This window comes from Homo sapiens, chromosome 20 (assembly GCF_000001405.40).
Source record: "Homo sapiens chromosome 20, GRCh38.p14 Primary Assembly".
Lineage (NCBI taxonomy): Eukaryota > Metazoa > Chordata > Mammalia > Primates > Hominidae > Homo > Homo sapiens.
In genome coordinates, this window is record NC_000020.11 from 50,816,434 (window position 1) to 50,836,579 (window position 20,146).

Sequence of the window (20,146 nt, forward strand, 5' to 3'; positions counted from 1 at the left end):
TTTTTAAATGTGTTCCAATGTTTAAACATTGGGGCATTTCCTATCAAATTAGGATTTCTGGCTTCTCTTGGAAAATGGAAAGATCTGGCAGCTCCGGGCCTGCATTTCCTGATGGCAGCTAGTGGCCAGCAGCTGGAGGACTGGATGAGCACCTCTCAGATCACAAGCCTGATGGCCTGTTTCACTCATTTATGTTAATGTCCAGCCTGATGACTGGGTTTTATTTCTTCTTCTTTTTTTAAAGACAAGTTCTCACTCTGTCGCCCAGCCTGGAGTGCAGTGGTGCGATCACTGCTTACTGCAGCCTCAGCCTCCTGGGTAGCTGGGACTACAGACATGCACCACCATGCCTGGCTAATTTTTTTTTTTTTTTTTTTTTTTTTTTTTTTGAGACGGAATCTCGCTCTGTCGCCCAGGCTGGAGTGCAGTGGTGTGACCTTGGCTCACTGCAGCCTCCGCCTCCCGGGTTCAAGCGATTCTCTTGCCTCAGCCTACTGAGTAGCTGGGACTACAGGTGTGTGCCACCACACCCGGCTAATTTTTGTATTTTTAGTAGAGATGGGGTCACCACATTGTCCAGAATGGTGTCGATCTCCTGACCTCGTGATCTGCCCGCCTCAGCCTCCCAAAGTGCTGGGATTACAGGCGTGAGCCAGTGCACCTGGGCTAATTTTTTTTTTTTTTTAAAGGGATGGAGTCTCACCATGTTGCCCAGACTGGTCTCGAATTCCTGGACTTAAGTGATCTTCCTGCCTCGGCCTCCCAAAATGTTGGGATTACAGGCATAAGCCACTGCTCCCGGCCATGGACCCTTTACATAACATAAAAAATTCAAGTTTCCCTTGTCAGAGTCCCTTTCCCAACTCCTCCTGCCCAGGGCTAAGTAAGCCCTGTTAATAGGGTTTCCAAAGAAACTATGGGATGCCCGGTTGAATTTGAATTTCAGATAAACAACAAATTTTTTAAGTATAAGCACATCTCTTAACTATTAGCAGTCTGGCACATATCATTCCAGGCCTTTCTCTGTGAAGACATGTACTTTTTTTTGAGACGGAGTCTCGCTCTGTTGCCCAGGCTAGAGTGCAGTGGTGCAATCTTGGCTCACTGCAGCCTCCGCCTCCTAGGTTCAAGCGATTCTCCTGCCTCAGCCTCGGAGTAGCTGTGACTACAGGCACACGCCACCATGCCCGGCTAATTTTTGTATTTTGAGTAGAGACGGGGTTCTGCCATGTTGGTCAGGCTGGTCTCAAACTCCTGACCTCAGGTGATCCGCCCGCCTCACACATTTTTTTTGGTATGGTTTGTATCTGACACCGTCTGCAGCTTGCTTTTCCTCTCCGGGGTATCACCGGGGCCACTGTGTTTATTAGAGCAGGCTGTGAGGTTGTGGACTCCATCTGGATTAGGATCCTTGCCCCGCTGTTTGTTAACTGTGTGATCTTGAGCAGGTTACCCCACCTCTCTGAGCCTCCGTGTCCTCATCTGTACAACGTGGAGGATACGGGTAGCTTTGTTATTTCCTGTATTTGTTGATCTTGTCTCTTTTGAAAGCTGCATAGAATGGAGAGGCCGTGGTGGCTTTAACCAGTCCTCCGTGATGGGCGCCAGGACTGCTGCCTGTTTATTGCTCTTTCAAAGGAGGCAGTGGAAGGGGGTCGAGCAGGAACCGGGCACATAATCCTAAGACTTAGTTTGCTTTAAAAAAAAAAAAAAAATGAAGGGTGTTTGTCTCCCTGGAAACCACTTGCTAATCTCCAGGATATCGTCTCTTTTTCAGGCGAAGGAGGTGGAGGAGACCATCGAGGGCATGCTCCTCAGGCTGGAAGAGTTTTGCAGCCTGGCTGACCTGGTGAGTGGCTGCCTGGAAGGCGTGGGTTTAGGCCCAGGCCAGACTTCAGGCCCTTGCTGGAGTTTTCTGCGGAAGCCATTTTGGTGGTGAGTTAGCAACCAGGAGGAATGGGGCAGCGGCCAGCGCTGAGAGGAAAGCCACGTGCAAACACTCCCTCCTCTCTCTCTCTCTCGCTCTCTCTCTCTCACTCAACCCCAAGTGCTTCCTGAGGCGGCCATCTTGATCTCGTCCTTCCCTCGAGATGGTTTTTATTCCGCAGAGGAGCCAGGAGTGGACCACAAGGTGGCACTCTCGGGCACCGATGCAGGGAGCCGTTCAGCGGGGACGCTAGACTATATTTAACTTTCCTCAGCTCTGCACCGTCCCCTGTGCAAACATGGAGACAGCCAGGAAATGGCTTCAGGCCTGCGAGGCCTAGGAGGAGCCTCTTGCCCAGGCCACAGCCCGTGGTGGAGTTGGGCATCGAGTTCCTTCCTGAATCCTTCTGTTCTCTCTGCTTTTACCTCCTACTCTGTCTGGTTGGCCCAAATCTACTAGCCTGGCTGAGGAGGAAGATGGAAGACAATGGCCCAGAAGACAAAGCCTCCCACGCCAGAGTCTCTAGAAATCGCCTCTAGAGGCTGGGTGCAGTGGCTCACACCTGTAATCCCAGCACTTTGGGAGGCCAAAGCGGGCAGATCACTTGAGGTCAGGAGTTCAAGACCAGCCTGACCAACATGGTGAAACCCTGCCTCTACCAAAAATACAAAAATTAGCCGGGTGTGGTGGCAGGCGCCTGTAATCTTAGCTACTCAGGAGGCTGAGGCAGGAGAATTGCTTGAACCCGGAAGGTGGAGGTTGCAGTGAGCTGAGATTGCGCCACTGCACTCCAGCCTGGGTGATAGATCAAGATTGTGTCTCAAAAAAAAAAGAAAAGAAAAAGAAATTGCTTCTAGATCCCAGTGTTCCTAGGATTGCTGCCAGCCAGGTGTGGAGCCCCCAGGAGTGCTGATAGAATTTTCTAGAAGCTCCCAAGCTTATTAGAGGCAAACCAGTAACCTGGGCTTGAGGTGTCTGCCTGGAGGCCCAAAGGGTAGAGCTCCATATTGTGACCAGGCCCTGTGTCTCCCCAGAGTGGAGGAAGCCTGGCCACCTGGGCCCAGTGGTGTGCGTTTATGTCCCTGAGAAGCACCGTGTCCGGACCCTGAGAGTGTTTGTGAGAACCCAAGGGAGTAACAGTAACAGCAGCCCCAGATGTTCATTGAACGCCTTTCTTTGTGCCCGGCACAAAGCCACCCTAGACAGCAGGCACTGAGTCATCCCTACCTATTCAGCGGACCTCGGCCCAGCCTCTAGGGTCACAGCAGAAATCCCAAGAGGACCTATATGGTTTCTTCTCTTGAGTCAATTTTTACGTTCAGATGTGGGTCCAGGTGGGAGCTAGGTAACAAGACAGGCTTTTAACAGCCTGGATTGTCCTTTCTTTACCACCACGCATTGGACTCTTTCTTTCTCTTTCTGTCTTTGTCTTTCTGTCTTTCCGTCTTTCTGTCTTTCCGTCTTTCCCTCCGTCCCTCCCTTCCTTCCTTCCTTTCTTCCTTCCTTTCGAGATAGAGTCTCGCTCTGTCCCCCAGGCTGGAGTGCCGTGATGCAATCTCGGCTCACTGCAACCTCTGCCTCCCGGGTTCAAGTGATTCTCCTGCCTCAGCCTCCTGAGTAGCTGGGATTACAAGCATGCACCACCATGCCTGGCTAATTTTTGTATTTTTAGTAGAGACAGCATGTTGACCAGGCTGGTCTTGAACTGCTGGCCTTAAGTGATCCTCCCGCCTCGGCCTCCCAAAGTGCTGGGATTGATTATAGGCGTGAGCCACCATGCCCGGCTGCATTGGGCACTTTCTCATGAATGGGCCCCGTCATAAACTTGAGTATGCAAAGAGAGTTCAGTCCATCTCCATTCCCATCAAGCCCCAGTGTATGTGGGGAGACTGATTTGGGTATCAGTTGGTGCCGTCCCATGCTACAGTGCTGTTGTCAAGGTAAGGTCAAGGTGTGAAGGGATTCCAGAGCCAGGGGTGCTAAGTCCTGCCTAGGAAATTGGGAAGGCTTCGTATAACAGGTGGTGATGAATCTGGGGCTGTAAGGAGAAATAGAGAATTCAACAGATGGGGAAGGAGTGCATTCAGGCAGAGGGACCAGCCTGTGCAAAGGCGGGGAGGCCAGGGATGTGGTATGGCTGGGCACTGGGTGAAGGATCGTGGTTGCGGGCAGGGAAGGCAGGTCGGGAGGATGGTGTGGATGGATGCTCCAGGGACACCTTTGTTTTCAAATCCCATCCCGTCATCCACATGGGCATTCTGCGCAAGGAGACCCAGCATCAGCCTGAAGAGGGCTGGGGGCAGAAGTCCATGTGGACAGGCGGAGAGACCCATGTGGCCCAGCCCTGAAAAACCATCACAGCTTCCTGTGGTGGGAAGTGTGTGTGTCTGTGTTGCCAGGAGACTCAAGATTGCAGGCAGCATCAGGCAGGTCCTCCTAACTCGAAGCCTGGAGATGCTTCATGGAAAGATTTAATCCTGAGGCCACACACAGATGACCCACAGGTCCAATCCTGCCTGCAGATAATTTGATGTTTCTGGGGGGGAAAAAAGCAGGCATTAGCTTGTGACATTTTTAGAATTTCATGTGAAAAATCTAGAGTTCCGGCTTCTCTCAGAAAAGCAAAGATCTGGCCCTCCTGGGGTACTCATTCCTACCTTGCAAGCATCGGCCGCCATGTCACGTGGCAAGCAAGCGACCACCTGCTGTGGGCAGCAAGCGTGCTTTCCAGCTTGATACAGTGCTGGCTGCTCCCGGGGAGCCTTCCTGACTCCACAGCCGCCACGTGCTTGTGTATTTTTGATAGATGATGTTTCTCTGTTCTTTTGACCCTACTGAAAGTGGGAAAGTAAAGCCAGACCAAGAGGATCCCATGTTCCAAGAAATGGAAGAGAACATGCATCCTTTTGGAAGCAAAGACTCTTCCCATGTGTCTGTGTTGACAGAATGTGCCCAGCCAGTTCTGCAAATATGTGACGCTTGTGGGACCCCTGGGGGTGTTTGAGCTTACAGCCCCTGCATGGGCACGCTGTGCCAATGCCATTTATATTCTAGAAATCCTCTTGGCCCCTAGAGGTTCATGCTTGGCTTACCTGGTATGTCTGCTGTGTGCTGTGGGGCTACATGACTACAGAGAGAGGTGTCCGGTGATCAGCCCTAGCTTGGGGCCTCTTTTTTCTCTTTAAGAGCTGCTTTGAAATCCAAGTTAGGGATGAGTAGGGTCCTCTAGGAGCAGGTGATGTCACACCACGGACCACTGTCCCCCCAGGTCCCTGCCTCGGTCTTCAGAAACACTGTTTGATCAATTTACAGGTCCGAGAGAAGGCAGGCCCTGGGCTGCACGGTTTAGAGAGAAGCCACTTCCTTTCAGATAAAATTAGGCTGTTAGAAATCAAAGTCCAGCTTCCCGTCTGCTCTATTAGTTCTTCCATTAGCCTGTCTTGATCACTCTCTGTCACTGAAATTCACCCCTCTGTTCTGGGACCTCTTTTAACATTTGATATAATGCCAATTGTTGGCACTTCACTTTCTGATTCCTTCTACTGTGGGGCCATGGACATGTCACGTTACCTCTCAGAACATTTATTTTTTCCTCCGTAAAATGAAAATAATGGTTCTGATTATCTATTGCTGTGTCAAACTACCCGAAAATTTGGTGATGTAAAACAACCACCCATTTATTTTGTGGGCTAGAGCAGGGCACAGAGGACTCAGCTCATTTGAGTCGAAGCTGGCTCCTTCATCACTTGTCTGGTACCTGGGCTGGGCTGGTTGGGGCTGGTTGGGGCTGGTTGGTGTAACTTGCCCCGTGCACGCTCTCCACGTGGCTGGCGTGGGCTTCCTCGTAGCATGGCTGTTTGACCTCCCCAGAGCAAGCAGTCCAGTGGGCAGGAAGGAAGCTGCCACATGTCTTGAGGCCTAAGTATGGAAACTGACACAGTGTCACTTCTGTTGTAGTTTATTGGTCAAAGCAGTTACACAGCCCAGCCAGAATCAGGGGAGAGAAACTGTATTCTACCCCTTCATGGAAGGAATTAAGGAGTTTGTAGCTGTCCTTAATCCACTACAAATAGTTTCCATCTCCAAAGAGTTACTGTAAGGAATAGATGAGGCAGAGATGTGTGCTTTACACCCACTAGAATGGCTAGATCTTAAAAACCACCAAAATACCAAGTGTTGGCAAGGATGTAGAGCAACGAAGCTCTCATACATTGCTGGTAGAAATGCAAAAAAAACTACAGCCACTTTGGAAAACAGCTTGGCAGTTTCTTACAGGTTTTTTTTTTTTTTTTGGAGACACAGTCTCACTCTGTTGCCCAGGCTGTAGTGCAGTGGCGCTATCTCAGCTCATTGCAACCTCTGCCTCCTGGGTTCAAGCGATTCTCGTGCCCCAGCAGCTGGGATTACAGGTGCCCACCACCACGCCTGGCTAATTTTTGTATTTTTAGTAGAGATGGGGTTTCACCATGTTGGCCAGGCTGGTCTCGAACTCCTGACCTCAAGTGATCCACCCGCCTCAGCCATCCAAAGTGCTGGGGATTACAGGCGTGAGCCACTGCACCCAGCCTCTTACAAAGTTGAACATGTGCTTAACCCACATCCCAGCAATTCTAGTCCTTGTCATTACCGATAAGGAATGAAAACAAGTGCCCAAACCACACAAAAATTCACACACAAATGTTCATAGAAGCCTTATTCGCCAGGCGTGGTAGCTCACGCCTGTAATCCCAGCACTTTGGGAGGCCGAGGCGGGTGGATCACCTGAGGTCAGGAGTTTGAGACCAGCCTGGCCAACATGGCGAAACCCTGTCTCTACTAAAAATACAAAAATTAGTTGGGTGCGGTGGCATACACCTGTAGTACCAGCTACTTGGGAAGCTGAGGCAGGAGAATCACTTGAACCCGGGAGGCGGAAGTTGCAGTGAGCTGAGATTGCATCACTGCACTCCAGCCTCGGTGACAGAGTGAGACTCCGTCCCCCCGGCCCAAAAAAAAAAGAAGGCTTATTCATGATACTCCAAACTGGAAACAACCCAAATGTCCGTCAGCAGTAGAATGAGTAAAGCAATTATTGATTTATGCATATATTGGAATACTACACAGCAATGAAAAAGAATCGACTGCTATACACAGCAACATAGATGATCTCACACATATGATATTGAACGAAAGAAGTCATGGCCAGGCATGATGGCTCACACCTGTAATTCCAGCTCTCTGAGAGGACAAAGTGGGAGGGTTGCTTGAGCTCAGGAGTTTGAGACCAGCCTGGGCAACATAGGGAGACCCCATCTTTATTTTTAAATAATAATAATACATTTAAAAAGAAAAGCTTGACACAAGAATACATTCTGTGCGATTCCACTAGTCTGAAGTTCAGGAATAGGCAGAAGTAATCTATGGGTGGTATAAGTCAGGTAGTGGTTGGTTTGGGGAGGGTAGTCATGGCCTACAGGAGGCCTTATGGGGTGATGAAATATTCTATATCTTAGTCTGGGTGGTGGTTACACAGATGTAAACATATGTGCGGATTCATCAAGCTGTCCACTTACGAGCTGTGAACTTTCCTTTGTGTCACTTACACCCAGTTAAAGATCGTTGCTGAGCACAGTGCTATTTATTAATAATTTTTATTATAATATTATAATAAATAGCACAGTGCTATTTATTAAATGACTAACAAATGGCAGCTACTAATGCCATCATCATTGTTACCAAAGCACCAGAGGGGCATGACACTGATGAAGTTATCCACAGTAAGGCTGGATTTGTAAAGCCTTTCAGCTCAGTGCCCTCTGGGGTTTGGGTAGCTTGTCCAGTCCCTCTGAAACTCCAGTGGCCTTCGGCCCACCTTCTGCCAAGGAGCAGAGTCTTACTTCGCTCACATAAATGGAGAACATTTCCTGTTGGCCTTGGCCCAGCAGTTGCATTTGGCGTGGGTGCATGTTCTTGGGTCAAATGCCTTTGGCTCTCCTTCCTAGGGGCCTGAATCATTCTGGACAGATGACTTTCCTCTGTGGTGACCTCAGAACCTGCTGCCCAGACTTCTGGGTTCTGGAGACCAGGTCTGGAGAGGTGGGAGGATAGTTGGGGGAAGGGTCTGGGGCCTCCAGGCTAGCACACCTGGTTGGGTGTTTGTCCTGGGAGAGGCTCTAGAGCATGGAGGCTTTTTCACTGAAATCTGTTTGCTCTTCTCAGAGCGTAGCCCAAGGCGTGCAAATGTAAACACCTGTAATGTAATGAGAAGTGAGTTGGAGATGAGAAATGTGTCACTTTCCTTTTGAGTCCTCCATAAGAAGAAAGTGCTCCTCTGGGTAGCTATGGATTCCATGTTGGGGAGACTGTAGGGAGTGATGGGGACTGGGGTTAACAAAAGTGGCAGCTGCCACTCAGCTCCAGCTGATTGTTGCCATGTGGAACATGGGCTCAGTGTGGCCAGGTCTTGGCTCAGTGTGTCCAGGTCTCCTGATTTTTCACAAGAAGTCAGAGATCTGGGTTTCTAAGGGAAATATCCTGACTTTGATATCTTGGCATCTGGTTTGGTTTTACTTTTTTTGTTTTTTTTAGGCATGATTGGGCTGACACTGCCTTTGCCCGATGAATGACATCTGTAGACCTCTGGTGTTAGGAAGGGTGGTCTCAGGCCCATCTGGATTAGACTCCTCCCTCTCCCACTTTTTAGCTTTGTGACCTTGGGCCAGCTCATTTAGTTTCTCTGAGCCTCGGTTTTATCTCCCATAAAATAAGGTTGAAGAGGAAATAGTTCTTGCCTCACAGGGCCTGTTCCCAGCACATGGTGAGAGTTCATGGAGTGTGCTCTGTTGGTATCGTGCCCCTCTAGACTGGACCTACATTAACCCTACAGTTCTGTTTTTTCCTTTAATAAATTTTTAATTTTTAAAATAGAGATGGTGCCTCACTGTGTTGCCCAGACTGGTCTTGAACTCCTGGCCTCAAGTGACCCTCTCACCTCGGCCTCTCAAAGAATTGGGATTACAGGTGTGAGCCACCGCACCTGGCCCTAAAGTTTCTTTTATGGTTCCCAGCCCAGGGTGGAACCAAGAGGTAAGGTTTGGGGCCTTTCAGCCCCTAGGATTGCCTTCCCTGGCCCCTCATTCTGAGTAACTACGGTAAACCTCTGGGCAGATATAAACAGTTCCCTGTTGCCTTCAGTTTCAGCCATTGGAGAAGCTGCATCAGAGAAGGGATTTCTCTAAAAATAAAATAAGAAACAGGCTAGGAGCAGTGGCTCATGCCTGTAATTCCAGCACTTTGGGAAGCCAAGGTGGGAGGATCACTTGAGGTCAGGAGTTCAAGACCAGCCTGGCCAACATGGTGAAACCCCATCTCTACTAAAAATACAAAAATTAGCCAGGCATGGTGGCAGGTGCTTGTAATCCCAGCTACTCGGGAGGCTGAGGCAAGAGAATCACTTGAACCTAGGAGGCAGAGGTTGCAGTGAGCAGAGATGGTGCCACTGTACTCCAGCCTGGGAGAGAGAGTGAGACTTGTCTCAAAAAAACAAGAACAAAAACAAAACTAAATAAACAAAAATAAGGGGGAAAAAAAGAGACTTCTTTATTCCCAATTCTTTGGGATTTAGGGGGCGAGGGTGGTCCTTGAGTCTCCTTTCTACCACTTTCTCTGTCTGCTGTAGGTTGCCAATCCCAGCCCATACCCCCAAGCTCATTCTCACTCCCCCGATTTGTTTCTTTAGAAATTAACAGAAGGATACGATTCAAGTTTGTTCCCCGGTGCTCTGACCTTGCCCTGGAATTAATTATCTGCTCTTTGCTACATCAGGGTGATTTTCTCCAAGTTTAGCCTTGTTGAGGAATGAGCTTCTCTCTAGAAATCTGGCCTTGGGGAAGAAAGGGAGGAGACTGAGGACCTTTCCCTGTCACTGGTAACAAATGCTGGAGCCAGGCAGAGCGTGGAGCTGGGGTGAGACAATGGGGAGGGGTGATGACTGTGGAAACCCCAGTGATCAGGCCCATCTGGAGGGAGCAGTCCCAGCCTTTGCTGCCCGGGGAGACTCAGGCCCATCATTGCCAAAGCTGCTGACTTAAGAGAAGCTGTAGATCCAGACCTAATTACTTGAATTTTTAAAACCATATTTATGTATTTTTTATTTTGGAATAGTTTAGATTTACAGGAAAATTGCAAAGATTGTTCAGAGAGTTGCCATATTAACCCTAAAGTTTTTTTAAATACATTTTTAATTTTTTAATAGAGATGGTGCCTCGCTATGTTGCCCAGGCTGGTCTTGAGCTCCTGGCCTCCATTGTTAACATCTCACATCACCATGGTACATTTGTCAGTACTAAGGGGCCAGGCACAATGGCTGACGCCTGTAAACCCAGCACTTTGGATTGAGGCAGGAGGATAGCTTGAGGCCAGGAGTCCAAGACCAGCCTGGACATCACAGTGAAACCCTGTCTCTACAAAAGATAAACAATTAGCTGGGCATGGTGGTGGACAGCTGTAGTCCCAGCTATTCAAGAGGCTGAGGCTGGAGAATTGTTTGAGCCCAGGAGGTCGAGGCTGCAACAAGTCATGATCACACCACTGCACTCCAGCCTGGGTGACAAAGCAAGACCCTATAAAAAAACAAAAAAACAAAAAACAACCCACGACCCCCCACCAAAAACAAACAAACAAACAAACAAAAAAAACGAAGAAACCAGCATTGGTATGTTGCTATTCACTGAACTCCACGCTTTGTTTTGATGTCACCAGTTTCTCATGAGTGTCCTCTTTCTGTTCCAGGATCCAGTCTAAGGTGCCACATGGCACGAGGTTGTCACATCTCCTTAGTCTATTCCGGTCTGTGACAGTTTCAGTCTTACCTTGCTTTTCATCACTTGTGCAGTTTTGAGACATGCTGGTCAGGTGTTTCGTAGAAGGTCCCTCGATTTTTGTGATGTTTTTCATGTGGTTAGACTGGAGATAGGAATTTATGGAACGATCACCACAGAGGAGGAGCCTTCTTATCACATCCCATCAGAGGGTCCCCGATGCCCACATGGCATCACGGATGTGAGCCTGCATAAGGTGGTGCCTGCGGCTTTCTCCAGTGGAATTTGCCATTTCCCCCTTTCCAGACCCATTCAATCCTCTGCACATATTAGGTTTGTGCACATTTACTTTGTACTTGGAGCTTTGATCTAATACTATGTTAATTTTTTGTTGCTCAGCTTGTCCCAGCTTTGGCCATTTCACTCTTGCAGGTTGGCTTCTGTGTCCCTTGGGTAAGCCCCATCTCATCCTTTATTTTGTGGAACACTTTCTTGCTTTCTGGTGCTACAAGATGCTCCAGACTCAGCTCAGTCCTAGAACCAGCCATTTCTCATGGGAGCCCCACTTGAATTTTTATTTGTTTTAGAGACAGGGTCTTGCACTGTCGCCCGGGCTGGAGTGCAGTGGCGCCATCTTGGCTCACTGCAACCTCTGTTTACCGGGTTTAAGCGATTCTCCTGCCTCAGCCTCCCGAGTAGCTGGGACTACAGGCGCACGCCACCATGCCCAGCTAACTTTTGTATTTTTAGTAGAGACAGGGTTTCTCCATTTTGGCTGTGGCTAGTCTTGAACTCCTCACCTCAGGTGATCTGCCCACCTTGGCCTCCCGAACTGCTGGGATTACAGGTGTAAGCCACTGTGCCCGGCCTTCAAAAATTTTTTTTTTTTTTCAAAATATGAGATGAGGAAACCGAGGCCCAGGGAGGCTAGGGGACCAGCCTGGTGTCATAGTGGAGAACAGTGGAGCAGGGGCTTAGGCTGGGCAGCCTGACACCACATGCCACCCTCTCAGGGCCGATTTTTGACCTTGTGGGATCAGAGCGTGAAAAACGAGTATCCCTGAGGACACTGGACACCTAGAGCTAGGTGCCCAGAGAGATGGCAGTGCTGTGACCAGAGGAGGGCTAGGCGTGGGGAGAGGCATGGAGGAGTTTGGTTTTAGACGTACAGGGCAATGGGGCAAAGGTCTCGGGAAACCGAGGGCAAGGGGGAAATGTTATCCTGAACAGTGGTGGGAGCAGATTTTCACGATAACCACAAGAAGTCTGATGTACTTAGGCAGAAAGAGGAGGAAAAACAGGTATAGTTTTCAAAAAAAAATTTTAAATAAAAATCTGGGGCCAGGAGTGCTGACTCATGCCTGTAATCCCAGATCTTTGGGAGGCCAAGGCAGGTGGATCACTTGAGGTCAGGAGTTCAAGACCAACCTGGCCAACGTGGTGAAACCCCGTCTCTACTAAAATACAAAAACTACGCAGGCATGGTGGTGCGTGCCTGTGGTCCCAGCTACTCGGGAGGCTGAGGCAGGAGAATCGCCTGGACCTGGGAGGCGGAGGTTACAGTGAGCTGAGATTGTGCCACTGCACTCCAGCCTGGGCAACAGAGCCAGATTCAGTCTCAAAAAACAAACAAAAGTGAGTCACTAGGCTCAGCCCAAAATCTTGGGGAGGGGATTACATGAGGGTGAGGATACCAGGAGGGTGAGACCACGGGGGGCACATCAGAAGCCGCCTCCACACTCCACGCCAGCATTGTGCTAAACAGCTCATCCTCAGTATCCCAGCGAAAGAAGGACCATCGTCTTGCACCACTGTCCCAGTGAGCAAAGGAGGGCTCAGAGAGGTGCAGTGAGTTGCCCAAGGTCACAGAGCTCATGGTGGGTAGAGCTAAATTTAAACACTAGCCTGACTCCTTAGTCCAGCTCCTGCTGTGCCCACTGGTGTTTCTCTAACAGTGGTCCCCAGATTCCTATTCCAACGTTGCCTCAGACTGTTGGCTGAAAGTGCGGATTCTCAAACTAGGAGAGGCTGGGAATCAGCATTTGAAAGGCTTCCCCCAGGAGATTCAGTTGCTCCCCAGAATTTTATTTTTTTTCTTTTTTGAGATGGAGTTTCACTCTGTCACCCAGGCTGGAGTGCAATGGCTTGATCTTGGCTCACTGCAACCTCCGCCTCCCGGGTTCAAGCGATTCTGCTGCCTCAGCCTCCCGAGTAGCTGAGATTAGAGGTGTGTGCTACCACACCCAGCTAATGTTTGTATTTTTAGTAGAGACGGGGTTTCACCATGTTGGCCAGGCTGGTCTCGAACTCCTGACCTCAGGTGATCCACCTACCTCGGCCTCCCAAAGTATTGGGATTACAGGCGTGAGCCACCACGCCCAGCCGCTCCCCAGAATTTGAGAGCCATGAATATGTGGCCTTTTTTGCACAGCGAGGATATGATAACATGAAAATGGAATCTCTCGTTCTCTCTCACACACACAGAAGAGTTAGGCTTGGTCCTTGGGTTCTGAAGGAAAAAGGAACCATCAGCGTCTGATATCAGTGATCAAGGGAAAAATATGTGGCTTCATACAGTTCACTTTTGGGGCCCTTGCCAAGCAGAAGAAAATGAAAACTAAAGGAGATGGTGCAAGGAAGTACTTAGGACAGTGCCTGCGTGTCGGAAGCATCTGATACATAAGAGTTGTGGCTTTCATTAACATTATTAATGAATATTATTCGTAATGATCAACTTGTTAATATTAATTCCAATGCAATGAAAACTGGACTGACTTTGACTTTGGTTTAGAGAAGAGATTCTGATTCTTTCCATTCGCTCCAGTTCAGTGGTTTAGAAAATGAAGATATTTAGTTTGGGACTGGTGTTGCTGGGTGGTTGGTGGGAAGTGATTAATTTGTGGTTCAGTACATAATACCTGGGTAGGTCTGGGTCCACAGAGGCGACGATGTTGGTCCTCCCCTGGGGCTCTGAGTTGTTCTTGGGCCTGTATTGCGCAGGATGCCACCTGGCACCTCAGCCATCATTGGGGTCTGTGTAGACCCTGGCCAACCTCTGAGGCAGGCAGGAGGACACAGTGATGGGGCAGAAGGCCTGATGAGCTGTTTTGTTCCTTGCAGATCAGGAGTGATACTTCACAGATCCTGGAGGAAAACATCCCAGTCCTTAAGGCCAAACTGACAGAAATGCGTGGCATCTATGCCAAAGTGGACCGGCTAGAGGTACGTCTAGGCAAACGAAGGTTCTGAGGCTGTGGACTTGATCTTGCTTTTGCCTTTTCCGCAAAGACGCCGATCTGGCCTTGAGCATGTCAGGCATTATGCCCAATGCAGGGGGTTGGTGGTGGGAGTTGGGGAGTCTGCACTCAAGTGATATTTCAAAAAAATCACAAGTAAAAATTTGTTTCCAGGCCAGGTGCAGTGGCTCATGCCTGTAATCCCAGCATTTTGGGAAGCCAATGTGGGAGGATCACTTGAGCCCAGGAGTTTGAGACCAGCCTGGGCAACATGGCGAAACCCCATCTCTACAAAAAATACAAAAACTAGTCAGGTGTTGTGGTGCATGCCTCTAGTCCCAGCTACTTGGGAGGCTGAGGTAGGAGGATGGCTTGAGTCCAGGAGGTCATGGCTACTGTGAGCATTGATTGTGCCACTGTATTCCAGCCTGGGCGACAGAGCAAGATCCTGTCTCAAAACGAAAAAAAAGAATTTGTTTCCAACATTTAAAAATCAGGGTACTTTATATAAAAATCTGCATTTTAAGCTTTTGAAAATTCAGAAGCTTTGATAACCCTGGGCCCACATTTCCTTAAATACTTTAATCTGTTTATGTTTCAAGGCATAAATATACAATGTATACACGCCTAAGTATGTAATTTAGTGAATTTTTACATATATCGACATCATGTGATGATGACCCAAATTGAGAGAGAGAACATTTCCAGCCCCTGGGTTGCATTCTTGCAGTGTTCTTGCAAGAATGGATGGAGGCTGGGCGCAGTGGCTCACACCTGTAATCCCAGCACTTTGGGAGGCTGAGGCGGGTGGATCAATGGAGGCCAAGAGTTCGAAACCACCCTGGCCAACCTGGTGAAACCCTGTCCCTACTAAAAATACTAAAATCAACCGGGCGTGGTGACACACACTGAGGAGGCTGAGGCACAAGAATCACTTGAACCTGGGAGGCAGAGGTTGCAGTGAGCCAAGATTGCACCACTGCACTCCAGCCTGGGCAACAGAGCAAGACTCTGTCTCAAAAAAGAAAAAAAAATGGGTGGAGCTGGTGGCTGCTGCTCCTCAGAAGGGCGTGGGCTCTCCAGTCTTCCACAGTCCCCACCATGCCCTGTTGCCTTACCGCTGACGTAGCTCACCCATCTTTTACTTGCCTGGCTAAGATGCATGGCATCTCATTTCCTCCTTGTTGCACTGCAGTCAGTCCCCTCACTGCCCCCATCTCCTGGAAGAGGAGCATAAGCTTTGCAAGGTCAGCCACTTCTCTGGGGTCACACTAGTTACATCAAGACAGGACTCCAGCTCATATGTGCCAGTGCAGACACTCTTCATCCACCTGGGGCCCTGGGCTTGGGACCCTGGCTCCTTGCACAGCAGAGGACCCGGAGGCTGAGAGGAGCTTGCGGTTGTGTCATAGTCACCTGGCCAGAGGGAACGTGAGCCCCTCCCAAGCTGCAGAGGGAGGGAGCAGGCGTGGCTGTCAGCACCGAGGTAGCAGAGAATTAACATTCTTGTCAGCAGAGAATGAAGCAGGAATATAATTAAAACTTTGCCCTTGGAATAGCTGATTCATTTGAATTTTATTCCACACGTTTGAAAGAGGAAAGAAAATGTGAAGACTTGCAGCCTGGTTCTCGCCTGGCCTGGGCTGGCCCAGCTGTCAGGCCCGGTTCCTTTCTGAGCATTCAGTCCACTGATGTTGACTGAGGGCCAGGAGAGACCCTCAGCAGGGTATTACCATATCAGCCTCCTATCGCTGCTGGGAGAAATTACCATGAATTCAGTGGCTTAAAACAACACACGAGCCTCTCTGAGCCTACCCTGGCTCAGGACGCTGCCCAATTTTAAAAAAAGAAGAAAAGAAAACAACACACTTTTTTTTTTTTTAGATGGAGTCTTGCTCTGTCCCCCAGGCTAGAGTGCAGTGGCATGATCTCGGCTCTCTGCAACCTCCGCCTCCCGGGTTCAAGTGATTCTCCTGCCTCAGCCTCCCAAGTAGCTGGGATTATAGGTGCTTTCCACCACGTCCAGCTAATTTTTGTATTTTTCGTAGAGACAGGGTTTTGCCATATTGTCTAGGCTGCTCTCGAACTCCCGACCTCAAGAGATCTGCCCGCCTCAGCCTCCCAAAGTGCTGGGATTACAGGCATGAGCCACCACACTCATCCACAACACACATTTATTATCTTATAGTTCTGGAAGTCAGAAGCTCAAAATGTGCCTTATGGGGCTAAAGTCAAGGTGGTGGCAGGTTGGCCCGTTCTGGAGGCTCTGGGGAGAATCTTTGCCTTTCTTTGCCTCTTTTCTTGCCTTTTCCAGATTCTAGCACTGCCTGCATTCCTCAGCTCGTGGCCCCTGCCTCCTCCTTCAAAGCCCACGGAGTGACATCTTCCTGTCTCTCTGTTGCTGGCCCTCCTGCCTCCCTCTTGTAAGGACCCTTGAGATTACGTTGGGCCTACCTGGATGATTCACAGTGACCTCCCATTCCAAGATCCTTAACTTAATCACACCTGCAGGATCCCTTTTGCCAAGGAAGGTGACATATTCACAGGTTCTGGGACTAGGACATGAACATCTTTGGGAGCCATCGTTCTGCTGCCCACACTTCTCCAGGATTTGCTTTCATTAGGCAAGTGCTGTGAAGGGAAGTAGCGACGGAGGTATGGGATCTACAGGACCTTGGAGAATGAGTGGAAGGAACTGTGTTAGGTGGGTGGGGGAACTGTGGGAACCGTGTTAGGTGGGTGCAGCTCAGGCAGGGGCTCCAGGCAGGATCTTGGCTCTGAGCAAGGAGGAGATTGGGATGTTGGAAGGATCCTGGGAAGCCAGGTATTGGGGGCAAAGGGGACTCGGACCCCAGTGGGGCCGAAGAAACTGGCAGCAGCAGCCAGGTTGTCCAACCCTTGCCATCCAAGGTCAGGACTTTGGCCTTTATCCTGAGGAGGAGGAAGCCGCCGAAGAGTCAGGACAGCCTAGTGGTTAGGGGCACACACCCCAGAGCCAGGCTTCTCAGCTCCAGTGCTGCTGACCTGGAAAATTCTTTGTTGTGGGGCTGTTCTGGGCATTGTAAGTTGCTTAGCAGCCTCTCTGGCCTCCACTCACAAGATACTATTAGCATCCCTCCAACCCCACTCCCCAGCGTGACAACCAAACATGTTGCCAAATGTCCCCTGGGGGGCAAGATTGCCGCGTTTCAAAGCGCTGATCTAGAGCTGCATAGCCTGGGTTCAAGTCCTAGTGCTGCTGCCTCCTAGTGTGTGACCTCCAGAAAATTCTGAGCCTCATTTCCCTGTAAAATGGGAGTTACGGTGGTGAGGTTCTTACACCCAAATCCTTGTCGTATTCAACAAACGTTTGCTGCACTGTAGGCTGCCCTGAGATGGGTGCTGGGCATATGGCCGAGGGGAGATGTCGGCTTCCCTGCAGGTGGTCCTGGAGGAGCATTAGACAGGGAAGCAGGCCGGGTGGGGTGGGTCAGCCGCAAGAGCACACACCAAGGGGTCCTGGCCAGAGCTGGAACAGAGGGGGCTTCCCAAGTGTGTGACCTGGAACCTAAGGCCTGAGATTTGGTGCAGGAATCCTGGGGAGGGAGCAGCTTGTGCAAAGAAAGGTCCAGAGGCGGGAAAAGGCAGCTTCTCAGGCACCTGGGGCCTGGGAGGAGCTCAAGGTCAGGAATGAGACGGAGTGAGGGGTGTAGCCCATAGGGTAGGGCCGAGGCCTGGAGTGTGGACCCTGTTCTTAGAATGACAGGACCCATCAGAGGGATTGCAGCTGCTGTAACCCCCGCTCCCCACAAAGAAGAAAGTCTACATTGATTATTCTTTTTTTGATTCATTCATTCATTCATTCATTGTAGAGACCGGGGCTCACTAAGTTGCTGCCCAGGCTGGTCTCGAACTCTTCTTTTTTTTTTTTTTTTTTTTTGAGACTGAGTCTCACTCTGTTGCCCAGGCTGGAGTGCAGTGGCGGAATCTTGGCTCACTGCAACCTCTGCCTCCCAGGTTCGAGCGATTCTCCTGCCTCAGCCTCCCGAGTAGCTGGGATTACAGGAAGGCCCACCACACCTGGCTGATTTTTGTATTTTTAATAGAGACAGGGTTTCACCATGTTGGCCAGGCTGGTCTCGAACTCCTGACCTCAAGTGATCTACCTGCCTTGGCCTCCCAAAGTGCTGGGATTACAGGCATGAGCCACCACGTCCAGCAGATTATTCTTAAAGTATACCATTTGGAGGTGTGGGGTATATTTACTAGGTGATACAATAATAAGCACTATCTCATTCCTGAACGTTTTCCCAAAAGATACCACATGTCTATTAGCAACCATTCCCCAGCCCCCGGCTCTGGCAACCACTCATCTACTTTCTGTCTCTGGATTTGCCTGTGCTGGACATTTCATGCTAATGGAATCATACCATATATGGCCTTCTGTGTTTGGCTTCTTTCACTTGCCATAATGGTTTCAAGGTTCATCTATGTTGTAGCATGTGCCAAGACCTCATTCCTTCTGTGGTTGAGTCATCTTTTGGTATATGGCTGGACCATACTTCATTTGTCCATGCATTAGCTGGCGCACAGTTGGGTGCTTTTCACTTTACGGCTGTCGTAAACAATGCTGCTATGAACGTTTGCGTACAAGTTTTTGTGTAACATATGTTTTCATTTCTTTTGGGTAGATACCTAGGAGTGGAATTATTGGCAGATCTTTTTAGGAGAGCTATGGAAACTCGTTTTAGGAAGTTTCTAACAATTTTCCAAAGTGACTACACCATTTTGAACTCAACTCGTTTTAGGACGTTTCAAACAGTTTTCCAAAGTGACTACACTATTTTGAACTCCCACCCGCAACTACTATAATTTTTTTTTTTTTTTTTTGAGATGGAGTCTTGCTGTGTCTCCAGGCTGGAGTGCAGTGGTGCAGTCTCGGCTCACTGCAACCTCTGCCTCCCGGGTTCAAGTGATTCTCCTGCCTCAGCCTCCCAAGTAGCTGGGACTATAGGCGCCTGCCACCACACCCGGCTAATTTTTTGTATTTTTATTAGAGACGGGGTTTCACCATGTTGGCCAGGATGGTCGTGATCTCTTGACCTTGTGATCCACCCGCCTCGGCCTCCTAAAGTGCTGGGATTACAGGCGTGAGCCACCATGCCTGGCCTACTATAAGTTTTAGATAGAGATTGCAAACTCAGATGCCAACAGGAGCCAGGACTGCTGAGGGACCAGGTGTTAGAAGACCAACCCCAAGCTCTCCCCATTCCTTTCTGGGAGCAGCTGGAGCTCAGAAGCAACTGTCACCACCGTGGGGCGTGAATCTCCCGGCTGTCACAGACCTTACTCTGCCCTAGAGTCTCACCAACATTGAGGCTGAGTGGCACTCACCTCCTGTCAACACCCCTGCACGTCTGCTTTCCTTAGAGTAGAGAGAGATTTCTCTGTAACTGATGCTCCATTAAAAGGGGGGAGTCCTAAGTGAGGTCCCAAGAGGGCCATGGATTTTAAGATCAAGTGGGAGATGATGTATTTCTTTTCTTTTCTTTTTTTTTTTCGGAGACAGAGTATCGCTCTGTCGCCCAGGCTGGAGTGCAATGGCGCGATCTCGGCTCACTGCAACCTCTGCCTCCCACGTTCAAGTGATTCTCCTGCCTCAGCCTCCTGAGTAGCTGGGATTACAGGCGCGTGCCACCACACATGGCTAACTTTTGTAGTTTTAGTAGAGACGGAGTTTCACCATGTTAGTCAGGCTGGTCCCGAACTCCTGACCTCGTGATCTGCCCGCTTCAGCCTCCCAAAGTGGTGGGATTACCGGCGTGAGCCACTGCGCCTGGCTGGTGATGTATTTCCTATTAGCTCAAGTGTGTGACATCAAACAATAAAACTGAGGGACCTGCTGAGAACCTGACATTGTATGGGGCAGGTGGACTCCAGAGCCAGAGAGCTGGGGCTCTGATCTGCCCCTTTGGTAATTCACCAACCCCCTTAGAGTCAGTTTCAAGGAAGACCCCCATCTCCAGGAAAGGAATGTGCCATCTACCCCTCAGAGTCATTGTGAGGATTAAATGAGACCCGCACCTGCCATCTTGCAGATGCTCAGCAAGGACAAACTATTATGGTGGTTGTAGTTGTCCACAAGGCTGAGAGAGGGATAATTTGTCCAGGATGGACAGTCACTGTTCTGCCCTGCCAGCCGGGGG

The 20,146-nt window shown here is 49.6% G+C and overlaps 1 protein-coding gene across 7 annotated transcripts in view, besides 6 other annotated features; it reads left to right on the forward strand.

Moving 5' to 3' along the window:
* The window catches only part of BCAS4 (breast carcinoma amplified sequence 4), an 87,783-nt gene that overhangs the window by 21,540 nt on the left and 46,097 nt on the right, over positions 1-20,146 (forward strand). For 5 of the 7 annotated variants that reach the window (XM_011528887.3, XM_011528886.3, NM_017843.4 and 2 more), the window contains exons 2-3: positions 1,778-1,849; positions 13,846-13,947. In XM_011528887.3, coding sequence (XP_011527189.1) covers positions 1,778-1,849; positions 13,846-13,947 — 174 coding nt within the window. Of the gene's footprint in view, positions 1-1,777; positions 1,936-13,845; positions 13,948-16,275; positions 19,529-20,146 lie in introns of those variants that run through there. The other 2 variants (XM_017027932.2, XM_047440278.1) reach the window with 2 other exon arrangements.
* Positions 2,293-2,342: an enhancer, noted in NCBI's record as "active region_18102". NCBI's record gives its function as "activates an Ori minimal core promoter by ATAC-STARR-seq in GM12878 lymphoblastoid cells {active_cell/tissue: GM12878}" and the evidence as "EXISTENCE:reporter gene assay evidence [ECO:0000049][PMID:35858748]".
* Positions 2,353-2,402: an enhancer, noted in NCBI's record as "active region_18103". NCBI's record gives its function as "activates an Ori minimal core promoter by ATAC-STARR-seq in GM12878 lymphoblastoid cells {active_cell/tissue: GM12878}" and the evidence as "EXISTENCE:reporter gene assay evidence [ECO:0000049][PMID:35858748]".
* Positions 2,890-2,939: an enhancer, noted in NCBI's record as "active region_18104". NCBI's record gives its function as "activates an Ori minimal core promoter by ATAC-STARR-seq in GM12878 lymphoblastoid cells {active_cell/tissue: GM12878}" and the evidence as "EXISTENCE:reporter gene assay evidence [ECO:0000049][PMID:35858748]".
* Positions 3,923-4,424: an enhancer, noted in NCBI's record as "H3K4me1 hESC enhancer chr20:49436893-49437394 (GRCh37/hg19 assembly coordinates)". NCBI's record gives its function as "activates a minimal SCP1, AML or CMV promoter by ChIP-STARR-seq in naive H9 embryonic stem cells {active_cell/tissue: H9 hESC(naive)}" and the evidence as "EXISTENCE:reporter gene assay evidence [ECO:0000049][PMID:30033119]".
* Positions 5,489-5,818: an enhancer, noted in NCBI's record as "active region_18105". NCBI's record gives its function as "activates an Ori minimal core promoter by ATAC-STARR-seq in GM12878 lymphoblastoid cells {active_cell/tissue: GM12878}" and the evidence as "EXISTENCE:reporter gene assay evidence [ECO:0000049][PMID:35858748]".
* Positions 17,377-17,876: an enhancer, noted in NCBI's record as "H3K4me1 hESC enhancer chr20:49450347-49450846 (GRCh37/hg19 assembly coordinates)". NCBI's record gives its function as "activates a minimal SCP1, AML or CMV promoter by ChIP-STARR-seq in primed H9 embryonic stem cells {active_cell/tissue: H9 hESC(primed)}" and the evidence as "EXISTENCE:reporter gene assay evidence [ECO:0000049][PMID:30033119]".